This window comes from Homo sapiens, chromosome 17, assembly GCF_000001405.40.
Source record: "Homo sapiens chromosome 17, GRCh38.p14 Primary Assembly".
Lineage (NCBI taxonomy): Eukaryota > Metazoa > Chordata > Mammalia > Primates > Hominidae > Homo > Homo sapiens.
The window spans coordinates 33,378,605-33,393,112 of record NC_000017.11 but is presented as its reverse complement, the minus strand read 5'-3'; the positions used below and the strand labels follow the sequence as shown (position 1 = coordinate 33,393,112).

Sequence of the window (14,508 nt, the reverse complement as noted above, 5' to 3'; positions counted from 1 at the left end):
ATGAACCGGACAAGGCAGCAAGGAGCTGGCCAGGAGGTGAGTTTGGAAGTGATTACAATGGGCTGCATGAGAGGTAGGAGACATAGACTTGGGATGGGGGCTAGAGAAATTGAAATTGAGAAAGAGATAAGAAAAATCTAACAAAGAACAGTCTGCAGGGCTTATCTACTAATTAGCTGTGGGAATTAAAGGAATGAGATGCATCAAAGATGACTAGGTTACCATGTGTCTGCTGCCAGGACAGGAGCTGCAAAGGTGAACATTTATGGTCTCTGCTTCTATAAAGTATAGCGTTCAGAGGAATGCCCATAGATATCCAAACCATTATAGCTCAGGGATTAGCTACTGTCATAGGGGCATTCTCTGGCACCATTTCAACATTAGGATGCCTTGGTTCCTGTGCAAGACCTAGCCAGTGAGGCAAATTTCAAGCTCACTGTGACTTGACCATGTGACACCGTGGAAGAAGTAATAATCTTGGCAGTGTGGTGACAGGAGAGAGGGGAGGAGGTCAGGGGAGGAGATGCATACTGATGATTAGGATAAGGGGCCGGGTGCAGTGGCTCACACCCCTAATCCTAGCACTTTGAGAAGCCAAAGCAGGCAGATTGCCTGAGTTCAGGAGTTTGTGACCAGTCAGGGCAACATGGGAAAACCCCGTCTCTACTAAAAATACAATAAATTAGCTGGGTGTGGTGGTGGGCACCTGTAGTCCTTGTTACTTGGGAAGCTGAGGCATAAGAATCTATTCAACTCAGTAGATGGTGGAGGTTGCAGTGGGCCAAGATCGCACCACTGCACTCCAGCCTGGGTAACAGAGCAAGACTCTGTCAAAAAAAAAAGAAAGAAAGAGAGACAGAGAAAGAAAGAAAAGGAAGGAAGGAAGGAAGGAAGGAAGGAAGGAAGGAAGGAAGGAGGGAAGGAAGGAAGGAAGGAAGGAAGAAAGGAAAAGAAAGAAAAAGGGGACTTTCAGGCAGAAAGAACACATGCAAAGACATAGAGGTGTTAGAGGTGTTCCACATGATAGCATGTTTTAAACTCCAAGATTTTGAATCCATTGGCGAAGGGCAAAACAGAAACAGAAATAAGACAGACCAGAGGAGCGGTTTTGGGGAGATCATGAGTACAGTGCTTAAAAGCAAAAATTTTGGAATCAAAAGAACATGGATCAGTTGTAAGTTATAGGATATCCTACAAGTCACTTTAACCTCTCTAAGCCTAGTTTTCTCATCTACAAAATGTGATTATTATTTACTGTAGAGTGTTCTTGGAAGGATTAAATAAGAAAATATAATTAAAGCACTTAACATAGGACCTGGCACATATATGAGTTCAATAAATGATAGTTGGAGGTCTTCATACTAACATGGATGAGTTTATATATGATTAACATTGACATGTCAGTGAACACGCCCAACAGGCACTTAGATATTGGGGGAATTGAGTGCAACTCAAGGTCAAGGCACTTAGATATTGGGGGAATTGAGTGCAACTCAAGGTCAAGGCAAGGAGAGGTGATCGTCAAAGTCCTGAGACCACATAAGTCCATCAAGGACTTAGATGTCAGGAAAAGGGCAAAGGCAAAGAACTGAGTCTCTGGGATATTGTAAAAAACTTTTTGCTTAGTGCAGGGGGAGGACTAAGAGAAGCCAGGACCAGACCTCTGTGGTCTCATGGAAGCCAAAAGAGGTGAGAACTCAAAAAGTAACTCATGATTGAATGCTTGACCAAGATGTTTTTAGGTGACCTTTGAGAGAATAATTTCTATAAAATGACCAATGCTGATCAAGTTGTAAAAGATCAGGAAGACAGTAGGTGGGAGAGAGTAGAAGGATGAAGTTCACTTGGAAAAAGCAGGTGACCTGAGTTCTAGGTCCCATTCTGCAAATAATCCTATCCCTTCTGGAAGGCCATACACCCCTTCTATGTATTTTTCATCATCTATAAAATAAGGATAGTGGACAAGATAACTTCTAAAGTCCATTTCAGCTCTCATATTCTGAGCAGCAAATCAGAATCTGGGACATTGTTAGGAGAAGATTAAGGAAGACTTGTTAGAGATGTTGTGGAGGCTATACAATTTCCTCCCTCTTTCTCTGTCTGCCAGCTGCTCCATCCTGGAGAAAGCAGCATGCAGCAGGCAGCCTCTCAGACAGCTCCAGTGATCTCTTCCTCCTGTATTCAAGCACTTATGTAATCCCTGCCCCTTGAGTGTGGGTTAGCCTTGAGTGCCATGCTTCTAATGAAGAAAATATGGCAAAAGTGATAGATATTACCTCTGAGATGACAAACAGACTCAAAGAGCCTGTCTCTGTGTTCCAAAGAGACTGAGGCTCTCGTCTTGCATGATGTCCCGTGCGCTCTGACGCATTCTGAGTAAAGCCAGTTGCCCTTTTATGAGCTGCCCTGTGGAGAGGTCCTAGCGGCAGAGGACTTGTTGGCTCCCAGCCGAGTGAGGATTTCAACAGTCCTCAAGAAACTGAATTCCACTAACAACCACAGAAGTCCCATGTTGAGTCTTCAGCCCTGGGAGACACTCTACAGCCTTGTGAGAGACCTTGAGGCAGAGGCACCAAACTAAGCCATTTCTGGATTCCTGGATTGCACAGAAACTCTGAGATAATACATGGTGAGTTTTTTAAGCCACAAAATTTTGGGGCTATTTGTTGCATAGCAATATATAATTACTAACTACATGAATACAAACAAAACAATTGAGCTGCACTTTTAAAGAAAGAGAAGAGTTCACTAAAGGAAGAAAAGAGAAGAGGGAAAGGGGCTTCTTTTTTTTTGAGGAAGGGGGACCGAATCTCGCTCTGTGGCCCATGCTGAAGTGCAGTGGCGTGATCTCAGCTCACTGCAACCTCCGGCTCCTGGGTTCAAGTGATTCTCCTGCCTCACCCTCCTGAGTAGCTGGGATTACAGGCGTGTGCCACCACACCTGGCTAATTTTTGTCTTTTTAGTAGAGACAGGGTTTTGCCATGCTAGCCAGGCCAGTCTCAAACTCCTGACCTCAAGTGATCCACCTGCCTCAGCCTCCCAAAGTACTGGAATTACAGACGTGAACCACCACGCCCAGCCAGAAAGAGACATTTCAAGCAGAAGGAGCAGCATGTGCCAGTCTCAGGCTGGGCCTCAGCAGGCCGTGATTCTTGAGGCTCCACATGGAGCCCAGCACAGAGTTGGTCATTCGTACTTGCTTGATGAAGTGTATTGTGTTTCACTCATCATTGTTATTTACCCACAACCCTTGGAAAATGTTGTTTGTGCTCAAGCCTCATTTCCCCAAACTCATCTTATCATCATTCCTGTTCATAAATAGTTTCCCAAGTATCTCAGGATTTTCAGGAATGCATGCTTGCCTACAGATTCACATGCATGAAGACAGACAGAATATTCTTGTCAGGGGCTATTGTGATAAGTGCTTTCCAAATCTCTTCCTTGATCTTTCCTCTGCAGACAGATTTAACTAATGGGCTAGATGTCTTAGTCCTGAATGAGTCATCATTAATTTCCTACCCAGCCTCACTCATCACAGCTAGCCTCATAGTTTTTTCATGTTGTCTTTGCTCTGCTGACATATTAGCTGAAACCCTGCCCAGCAATATTTCATATTTGATGAGATTTCCCTTTGAGCCTAGAATCCACTAACAGAATTGGGGTGACCTCCCTGTAGTATTCATTTGTAAGTCTTACTATATCCATTTTCCTCTTCTTTTAGTGTTCATATCAATATTCCTCAGCCTCCTTTGCAGTTAAGTTCAGACTCAGGTGACTGGTTGCAGTCAATGAGCTGTAAACAGAAGGGATACATTGTGCCATCTGTTTGCGTGCAGTTAAGAGTGGGAGAGAGCCAGGCACGGTGGCTCGTGCCTGTAATCCCAGCACTTTGAGAGGCTGAGTCGGGTGGATTGCTTTGAGCTCAGGATTTCGAGACCAGCCAGGGCAACACAGCAAGACCCTGTCTCTACAAAAAATACGAAGATTAGCCAGGCATGGTGGCTTGTGCCTGTAATCCCAGCTATTTGGGTGGCTGAGGCATGAGTATTGCTTGAACCTGGGAGGCAGAGGTTGCAGTGAGCCAAGATTGTGCCACTGCACTCCAGCCTGGGTGACAGAGTGAGACTCTGTCTCAAAAACAAACAAACAAACAAGAGTGGGAGTAACTTCTTCATGAGCTCCTGAGCTCAGGGCTGCTGATGTGGCCGCAGAGGCCATGAATTGAGATGGAGGTCTTGCAAGTTGGAAGCAGCCTGGATTGCTGGGTTACCACAGGGAGTGCAGCCACACTGCCTTGGACTTTGTGTGAGCAAGAAGTGAACATTTGCTATATTAAGTCACTGAAATTGTGGGGCAGGCATTGATTACCACAGCAGAGCCTAGGTTGTACTAAGAGACACCTGGGCTCACAGCACTAGTCTATGCCATGTGGTGAACTAGTCAATTACCATGAGAGGCAGGTCTGGACCAAATTATTCCTAGAAATGCAGTCAGAGCCATCCTGGTGAATGAGTGATCACTGCTGATAAAAGTCTGTATCCTTAAGAAAGGGGAAAAGACCATCCATGAATATGCACACATGAGAAGTGGGGTAGAGGGTAAGCAGCCAGCCTCTGGGATGGCTGGAACTTCCACCCACCTTCATTCTCTGTGGTATGGGTGTACTTTGATCAGATCACCTTTTCTACAAAGGTGAAAACTGTGTGGCCAGCAGTCCTGGGCCCATTCTCACATGTAGTGAGGGGCTTAAAACAACAGATATTTATTCTGTCAGAGTTCTGGAAGCCAAAAGTCCAAAATACGTATTACTAGGCTGAAGTTAAGACATCAGCAGGGCTGTACCCCCTCCAGAGGCTCTGGGGAAGAGTCGATTCCACGCCTCTTTCAGCTTCTGCTGGCTGCTGGCATTTCTTGGCTTGTGGCCAGTGGCCACATCACTTCAATCTGCCTCAGTGATCACATTGCCTTGTTTTTTTAATTTGTTTGTTTTGTTGTTGTTGTTTTGTTTTGTTTTGCTTTGCTTTGTTTTTTTGAGATGGAGTCTCTCTCTATTGTCCAGGCTGGAGTGCAGTGGCTCAATCTCAGCTCACTGCAACCTCTGCCTCCCGGGTTCAAGCAATTCTCCTGCCTCTCCCTCCTGAGTAGCTGGGATTACAGGTGCGCACCACTACTCCCAGCTAATTTTTGTATTTTTAGTAGAGATGGGAAATCATCATGTTGGCCAGGCTGGTATCAAATTCACATCGCCTTTTCTTCTGTCTGTGCTCAAACCTTCCTCTGCCTCCCCTTTTCTTCCTAGGTGAAAAAATTTAAGATCTCCCCTCTTAGCAAATTTCAAGTATACAATAAAGTATTGTTAACTATAGTTACATTGTTGTATGTACCTCTCTCTTAGAAGATTGCTTTCCGGGCCAGGGTAATGGCCCCATCTTAAGAGCCTTAAGTTAATCACAGCTGCAGCGTCTTTGCCATATTAGGTGACATTTACAGGTTCCAGAGACTCTGATCTGATTTGTTTCGGGGCAGCGGAAAGTGGGAGTGGCGCAGGCGCGCAGAATTGCTCAGCCTACTACATCTGGCTAGGTGAGAGAGGGTCTGTGTCTTGCCAGAAGAATGAGAAAGAGGTTGCAGAAAGAGAAAAATGATAAAGGTCCTAACCATTTCTCTGTTGGTACAGGACTAACTCCCTGGTTGAGAAGGAAGTCCCCTCTGCTGACTTGGACATCTGATTGAGAAAAGAGCCAACAAACACTCCTGTTAGCACTTGGCTTGTTCCGCAAGGACTGGGTCACAGCTGGGTCTGAATCCTTTGATGAGTTCCTTAATCTTTCTGAGCCTCAATTTCTTCATCTATAAAATGGAGATAGAAGAGTACTTGTTGTCTAGCTTTGTTGTGATTTGTAAATGAAAGAATGCATGTAAATGACCAGGTGCAGTGGCTCACACCTGTAATTCCAGCACTTTGGGAGGCTGAGGCAGATGGATCACTTGAGGTCAGGAGTTCGAGACCAGCCTGGCCAACATGGTGAAACCCCATCTCTACTAAAAACACAAAAATTAGCCGGGCTTGGTGGCAGGGGCCTGTAAACCCAGCTAAACTCTAAAGCAGCTAAAATCCCAGCAAAACTCTGTCAAAACACACACACACACAGACACACACACACACACCCCAAAGAATTTATGTAAACGCTTAGCATAGTGCCAGTCACACACGAGCCACTCAGAGGTCTTCATGGAAATGCAAAGGCCAAGGTTCTGAGGGAAGCAACTTGATGTGTTGGAGGAACTAAAATAAAAGACACGCAGGAAGTCTGCGAGTCATGCAGTAAATGACACTAAATGAGGCCGAGAGATCAGAAGGGGCCACTCTTTCCAGGGACCCATGGACCACATTAAGGATGTTAATGGGATTGCTCTTAGGTTAAAAACCATAGAGCAGGGGCGTATGTGACCCAACAGATCACTCTTGCTCCTGGTTGGAGAATGATGTGGCATTAGGTATAAATTAGAGTCCAGGTGAGGGATGGCTGCAGCTCAGAGAGGTGGCAGTAAAGTCATTGAGGGAGAAGTGGATGGTTTCAAATTCTATTTAATAGGTAAAATCAATATAGCCTAGTGACTAATTGGATCACAGCAGTAAGGCAGAGAGAGATGGCAAGGATAACTCCCAGGTTTTCAACTGAGTATACAGTGGTGCCATTCACTGGAATGAATAACTCTTGGAAAGCTTCAGGGGTGGTAAGAGAGGTGGAATATAGGGGAAAGTGAGAAATCCAGCTTTAGATAGATGAAGTAGAAGGTGAATATGAGACAGACAGTCACATGGAGAAGCAAAGTGGACACCTAGGGATACAGGTGGGTCTCTAGAGGTCAAGGGTGGAGATAAAAGTTTCTGTCATCAGCCTAGACTTGGCTGTTGAAGCTGCATATATTTGGGAGAGAGCACATAGAGAGAAAATAGAGAGGGAAAAGAATTTGTTTCAGTTTGGCAAACATCTCCTTGTGCCAGTCTGGATAGATACTAGGAATACAGGGGTGAATAAGACATAGTGCCTTCAGTCTGTTAGATAAGTAAATATCACGTTATGTGTATAGTAACAGACAACTGCCAAGGTAGAGAGGTAGGTGTCATTATCTCTGCGAGGGAGCAGTCCGGCAGGTGGGTCCTGTAAACCTTGGCTGATCACCATCATAAGAGCCCCTGGCTCACAGTACACTATCTTATCTCCATCAGGGCTTTGCCATTCCTCCTCACAGTTATCACCTGGCCTCCAGACAGGGATTCCTCTGCCCATTCCACCCAGTCTTTGCAGACACAAACTGCAGAGTTTGTGTCTTTTCTCTCTGCAGCCTATGGATCTGTCCTCACACTGGACACTTCTTTCTTCTCAGCTTCACCAGGCAAAGCTTCCTGCCAAAACTCTGCAGAGTTGCAGAACTTTTCACTCCGGCAGGCCTCATCAGAAAAGTAAAACTAATGAACTTGCTGCATTACGCAGCTGTCTCCATTAGTAATGAAATCCTTTTATTACAAGAGATTAGTTTAAAACATGTTATTAAACAGATCAAAATGAGCAATAGTAATGAAAGTTGTTAAAATGCAAGGCATGTGAGAGAACAGCTTACCCCTGAAATAAGAAAAATCTGAGTCAGAATTGGAACGGTTTTATGTGGGAGGAGAGAGAGTGATGTACCCTGAAGACAGACGGTGGGATGCAGGAACAGTGGCCACAGCTTAAATGGTGGGGTTCACTCAGGAGAAAGCAGGGTGCTGAAAAGAACAGCTCCTGGTGAAACCCAAAGGGAGGGGCTCAGGGGCTGGGGAGGGAGGCCAGAGTGAAGAGCCCGGGAAAAACCCAGGCTGAAGAGTGGGCAGCAGCCAAAGATAGTCTATTCAGTCTTATACTCACAGCAGAGTATTAGTGGCTAATGCATGTCGAACACTTGACCTGTGTTAACATTTTGCTAAGTTCTTCACTTGTACATTTTATTTAATTCTTACAACAAAGTATGAGGCAGGTATTGTTATCATTCCCATTTTACAGACAAGTAGCCCCAGAGAGGTTAATGTCTTGCTCAAGCCCATGCAGCTAATAAAGGAGAGAAATGGAATTTGGAATTTGGACCTATGTCTGTCTGACTTTAGAGCATTCACTCCTAATCCTTGCATTATGGGGGATGGGCTTCACATCAGAAGAGATGGCCCTGCCTTCTGGGTATTTATGATGGCATTGGGCATATGAGACCCATGGATATGAAATGTAAACAACATAGTTATCAAGGAGTGTGAGTACCAGTTAAGGGGACTTGGGCTCATGTTCTAGGGACTCAGATTGGCTTGGGCTGGCCTAGAGGGCTAAGTCTATTTGCAAAGGAAAAGGAGGAACCTTACAGAAAGAATTCTATCTGAGCACAGAGAGGACTGAAGGACACGTCCTTCTTCCAAGGTCAATAATCCGCCCTTGGCAGAACAGATACAGCATGGAGTGCATCTCTAATAATACCCACTTTTCCATTCTCCTCCTCACTGGACTGGGGGAGTCTAGGGAAACTCACAGTGTTAAAGTAACAGGTAAACAGACATAACTTGGAATTTTAGCCTGTCAAATGTGGATGGCACCTGGAAGTTGATACTTCCCTCCGACATCATAATCCCTCCCATAACACTCCTGACAATCAGTTCACAGAAAAAAAAGATCCTAGCATCACAGGGCAGCTCATTCTCCTAGTGAACAGCACTGACTTATTAGAGCATTCTTTCTTATATAGAACAGAGATATGTCTGGCTGACACTTTTACCAATTAATATTAAATCTGTCCATTAGCCTTACAAAATCACCCTTCAATGTGACAAAATCTTGGGTATTTGGAAAGGGCAATCATGTTCCTTCTTAAGTGCCTATTCTACAGGGTAACATTCCCTAGGTTTCTTGGATTTGAGATGTCTCAGTATCAGATCACTTTCCTAGGGACATGAACCACTTTGGGACAAAGCCCTACTTAACAGGTGGGGGCCAGAAGTGAGTATCCCATTCCAGGTGCTGACAGACAACAGCCAAGTCCAGGGAGACAATCTCTTCCTTCCTTCTAGTTCCTCTACTTTTAATAATGCATGCTTAGCTTCCACTCCTAACAGCCACACCACTCTCTGGTTTGTGTTTAACTCACTCCTGAGTAAACAAGCCTTTGATGCTTCTGCTAAGTCACGCCACCCCCTTCCAATCCCTCCCTGTGCAGTTAGTTTCTGGACCCAGTATTAATCCCTGCTAAATTGGTTGACCCTTTGTTCCAGCTTATTGCGATCATTTTGGATCCTGATTCTGTCATCTGACATAATCACCATCCCTGCCACTGTTTTGTCATCTGAAAATGTGATGAGCAAAAGCTCATTGTATTTGTCTGAGTCATTGAAAGAAACATTGAATTTGTCAGGCCAAGAGCAGAGGCCCAGGGTGGGGCCCTGGTGGGGGCTAACCTGACTCTGTCTCTAGATGTCCAGACAGTGAGACATGGAGGAATTGATCCACGTGTGTCAAACTCACAGAAAAGCAAAGTATGAGTCAAAAGATCAATTTACTATTGATATTGGGATGAGTTTCTGCCACAAAGCCTGGAATTGCCAGTCACTTCATGATAATTTTCTGCGTATCCATTTCTTGGTATCAACAACCTGGGAAGTACCTTCCACTCCCAGGAGGTAGGAGCCGAACATGCTACTTTCAAATTAAAAAAGAAGTGAATCTGCTTAAGGGATATTTCCAAGAAGACAAGGCATGGTTTTCCCTCCAAGATATAGACACCCAGGCACAAAGGCAATCCCAACATGGCCTCACCCTCAAACCACTCATGATCTAATGAAAGGAAAGGGTATAAAATCACTTTTTGAAATCCACGTAATAAGTGCTCTAAGAGAGGGGTACTCAAATTGCTATGGGACCCAACATAGGAGATACTAACTCTACTGAAAGGACTTTAAAAATTTTTCACAGAAAAGCTGACATCTGAGGTAGGTCTTGAAGAAGGAATGGGAGGTTTTTTGTTTGTTTTTTTGTGTGTGGTGTTTGTTTGTTTGTTTGTTTGTTTTTTATATTCCCTGAACTCATTCTGTGGGCAGGGAATGAGTTTTCTAGGTGAAGACAGGAGAAAGATCTTGTAGGCACAGGGAACGGCAGACCTGAAAACATGGACCAGAAAGAGACATGGCAAGTCTGGGAAACAGTAAGAAATTTGGGAGTATGGGGTAAGTAGAAAACAAGGCTAGAAAATTTATTTGTCCTCATTTGCTACAACACTTGTCAAGCTGCTAACATGTACTGAGTATTTTGTTTACCACTGGTGCATGAACAGATGAAGATGACGCAGTCCCTGCTTCAGAGAACTTACTAGTTGTGAAATCTGCACAAGCTCCTTAGCCTCTCTGATCCTCAATATCCTCCTCTATAAAACAAGGATAGTCAAACTCATGTTACAGGGAATCGAATGAGCTGTTTGTGGATTATGCAGCACAGTGTCTGACATGTAATAGGTCTGCAGGGCAAACCCATGATGGGCACCTTCCTATTTTCCTTATGTGACTTCACATAGTATGGGGCTGAAGCTTCATGGATCCATCACTTGTGTTTGTAGCATAAGAGATACTGCTTTTGATGCAGCCTCCTGCTGTGAAGAAGGCCATTTTGGGGTCTGGAGACATATCTTTCACCAGCCTTCTGATAGAGAGGCCTCCCACCGTATCCATAGTGTAGTGTCTCTGGAAAAGAACAAATTTGGTCTAAAACTTCAGCATCATCGATTCTTCTTTTCAACCGAAAAAAAGGTTCTCATTTTTAATCTGTGTCTGTTTGCATCCTGTTTTGAATCTGAGCTCTGCATGGCCCAGATTCCTGCCCTAAGTTCAGATGGATTCTGAAAGGTATTGGAACAGGAATTAGGCCCACCTGCTGAGAATATTTCTCCCACTTGAGTCCTGGAAGGAAGTCAAGTGCAGAGACAGCGCCCGGTGTCTGGCAGAGCAGGTGACCCACAACAATATGAGCACAGTACAACCCTTCAGCACCAGGGAGATCCAACGTGGGACTAACATGGGGTCCTACAACAAAGAACTGAGGGGCATTGAACACCCACCATGCAGCAATTAAATATATATTACTACGCATTCCCTGAGTTCTTATGCATCAAAAACAGTGCCAGTGTGTATCCCTCACTTTGGTTCATCTTTACAGTAACCCTCAGAACAAAGTACAGTTTATATTTCTGCAAAGGAATCCAAGATTCAGAGAATTTTATGGAACTTGGTATAGGCCATTCGGCTAGTAATGGAGGAGTTGGGATTTGAGGCTGGGCCTGACTTTGCCATGACCTATGCTTTAATATCCTTTATGATCATAGGAATAGCTACCATATTTTGAGCACCTACCCTGTGTCGGATACCATGAGCAGCTCTTTCTATACTTTTTCTCATTTTCTCCTCCAAATGAACTTCCCAAGTGGGTGTTATCATCACTAGCCACACCTCACAAAGAGAGTTTCAGTGCCCCCCCGGGGCACATACTGCTGGCAGCAGAGTTGAGTTGGAACTATCTGACTCCAGGGCCAGCATTTTCCCTATCCTCCTGGATGAAAGCACACAGGCAGATGCTGCCGGAAGCCCAGACCAGCAGGCTATGTGAAGGAAGCCTGCGGCTGGGCTGGACTTGCTGGGCATGAAAGCAACTGGTTCCAGCTGTGAGAGGCAGAGGCGGCAGCGCCTGAGCAAAGAAAGTTCCTCCCCCCATGCTCTTGGTGCCTCAGCCCAGGATGGGTGTGAACCAGCCTGCTCCAAACAAGTCAGGTTTTCCTCTGGTTTATTAAAAAGGAGAGTTCCTGCCATGGCATTTCCAGTAAATAACACGGCTAGCTTTGGTTTCAGAGCCAATAAATCCTCTCTGAACAACATTAATGTCTGCTGGAGATGGAATAAGAGTTCTTCACTTTGTTCTCTACGGACAAAGCAAGCACAGCCACCGGCCAAGTGCTACAAGCTCCTGCTGGGAAAAGCCACAGTTCTCCTTCTCCTGGCCCAAACCCTGCCATCTCGAACTGTGAGCCGAGATTCCAGCTCTTCTTTAAAATACAAATCCCTCCAAGGGCCTCTTTGGCCCACTTTTTTCTCACTGGGGCAATTCTAGGCAAGTGTGCAGAGGGTGCACAGTAAGGAGTGTAGCCTGAAGAAGGTCAGCCACCCAGGTGCCACTCCATTGATTTCACACAGAGAGACTGGACCTTTCAGAGGCCAAAGGAACATCAGGGCTGCCAATCTGTGGAATAGCAGCAATTATGAGGCACTTGAGAAGGAACCTCCGCCTTTTAAAAATGCAGACCCATACTCAGGCCTCCTGCAGTTCAAGGGCTCTTTGGGGAATGTTGCATCCTTGATGAGGGACAAAGGAGGCAGCCTCACAGCCCATGACTATGCTCTCCAAGGCAGCAGAGGGATCAACCACTGAAAAGCTGATGACCACTTTCCAGCGACAGCTTGGCCTAGACCCTGAGGAGAAGAATATAGATTCTGGATGTAAAACATCTGGAGACAGATGGGTCTCTGTCGTGGGCTGTTGTGTGATGGAAGCCTGTCACTCCCTGACCTCCCTGACCTTGTTGTTTTTTCTCCTGCATAAGATGAAGGTAACACTTTCTACATCAAAGATAGAATTTAAATAGCATGCACATAGAGTGCCTAGCATACAGTAGGCACTTAATCAATGTTTACGCATCATGATCATCATCATCATCATGTACATGATAAGAGTCAATGTAACCATTTCTTTTCTTTTCTTTTTCTTTTTTTCTTTCTTTCTTTCTTTCTTTTTTTTTTTTTTTTTTTTTTTGAGACAGGGTTTCCCTCTGTTGCTTGGGCTGGAGTGCAGTGGCGCGATGTCACCTAACTGCAACTTCTGCCTCCCTGGTTCAAGCGATTCTACTGCCTCAGCCCCCCAAGTAGCTGGGATTACAGGCACGTGCCAGCACTCCCGGCTAATTTTTGTATTTTTACTAGAGATGGGGTTTCACTATGCTGGCCAGGCTGGCCTCCAACTCCTGACTTCAAGTGATCTGCCCACCTCAGCCTCCCAAAGTGCTGGAATTAGAGGCATGAGCCTCCGTGCCCAGCAACTGTAACCAATTCTTAACAAATTCCTACTATGGACCTATTCTGTGCAAGACACTCAATTCCTACTCGGTGCCAGATACTAAAGTCAAGTTTAAATGATAATAAAAGAGATGTACATGGAATAGAGTGAGCTTGGTTTGTTCTCTTTAACACCCATCTTCACCTTGAGAGCCAGGCAGTCCCTTGGCCTCACCACCAATGCCCTCTATTAGCAACGGTAAAATGAATAAGAGCAGTAACTAATGTGTGAACCATAGCTGATCATCTAAAGGTGATGCAGATCACCTTGATGGTCCTCGCCACATTCCTAGGAAGAAAATGGAGCTGGTCTATTGCCTGCATCATATAGGGCTCCCTAAAGGATCAGCACAAGGTGCGAGAGGGAGGCAAAAGGTGTGAGTGTGAGGTTTGAAGAGCGAAACAGAAGCCCTCAGAAAATACTGGGGCATCCACGGGAATCCTCACCCCCTTAAAAGGTCCCAGGAGCTAGGAGTCCTATAAAATCTGGATATGTGGGAGACCAGTTGTGGATAAAGTGCTTAGAACCAAACAGCTTTCTCATTTCTGACAAAGGGGTAAATAACTTATGAGTGTGCCCCAGTCATTGCGTTGAGTGCTTTCCTTGCTGAGTTTATCTGAACTTCGCAACTGCCAGAGTGTAAGATATTATCAGCCCCCTTTTACAGATGAGAAAAACAAGGCTTAGGAGGAGTAAGTAACTTGTTCAGTCTCTGACACAGCAAGTAAGTGACAGAGCTTGCATTTGAAGGCAGGGCTACACCATGTCACCTCCTAAAACCATCACCATCACTACCCGTGAAAGCCACCAACTATGTGTCCTTTCCTCTGCTCCAGTCACTAACTGTATGCTTCCCATATGTTATCTCATTTAATGCTCCAATAACCCTTAAATGCTAATACCTGTGGATAATTTTTAGTTACAAAGTATGCTCCCTATGTACTGGCTGTCACTTAATCATGATACTAACCCTGGAAAGTAGTTGGGAAAATAAGACCCAGAGAGGTTAAGTCACTTGCCCCAGGTCACTCACAAGGATTTCTGCCCTCCAAATCTCAAGTTCATTCTGCTGTGTCAGATTCCAACTGCCTTGCTCCATTGCTGTTCCTGTCCAGATCCAAAGCTCAGCTCCATTTCAGGTGGACAACATCAAGGCCTAAGAAATGAAGCCGTGGCACAGCCACAGTTAAGTAGAAACATCCACTGATATGAAGAATCCCCACCATCTAACATTTTTCTGAGATTTGCTGCCTTCCTGCCAGTTCATTTCCAATCACTGGCATCTTTAAAATCACCTCTCACCAAAAGCCTGCTGCGTAATCTAATTTGCTACATATTTTG

The 14,508-nt window shown here is 45.0% G+C and overlaps 1 protein-coding gene across 1 annotated transcript in view, besides 2 other annotated features; it reads left to right on the top strand.

Moving 5' to 3' along the window:
* The window catches only part of ASIC2 (acid sensing ion channel subunit 2), a 1,143,682-nt gene that overhangs the window by 763,656 nt on the left and 365,518 nt on the right, over positions 1 to 14,508 (top strand). The window lies entirely within an intron of this gene.
* Positions 11,232 to 11,732: an enhancer, noted in NCBI's record as "H3K4me1 hESC enhancer chr17:31708399-31708899 (GRCh37/hg19 assembly coordinates)". NCBI's record gives its function as "activates a minimal SCP1, AML or CMV promoter by ChIP-STARR-seq in naive H9 embryonic stem cells {active_cell/tissue: H9 hESC(naive)}" and the evidence as "EXISTENCE:reporter gene assay evidence [ECO:0000049][PMID:30033119]".
* Positions 11,733 to 12,233: an enhancer, noted in NCBI's record as "H3K4me1 hESC enhancer chr17:31707898-31708398 (GRCh37/hg19 assembly coordinates)". NCBI's record gives its function as "activates a minimal SCP1, AML or CMV promoter by ChIP-STARR-seq in naive H9 embryonic stem cells {active_cell/tissue: H9 hESC(naive)}" and the evidence as "EXISTENCE:reporter gene assay evidence [ECO:0000049][PMID:30033119]".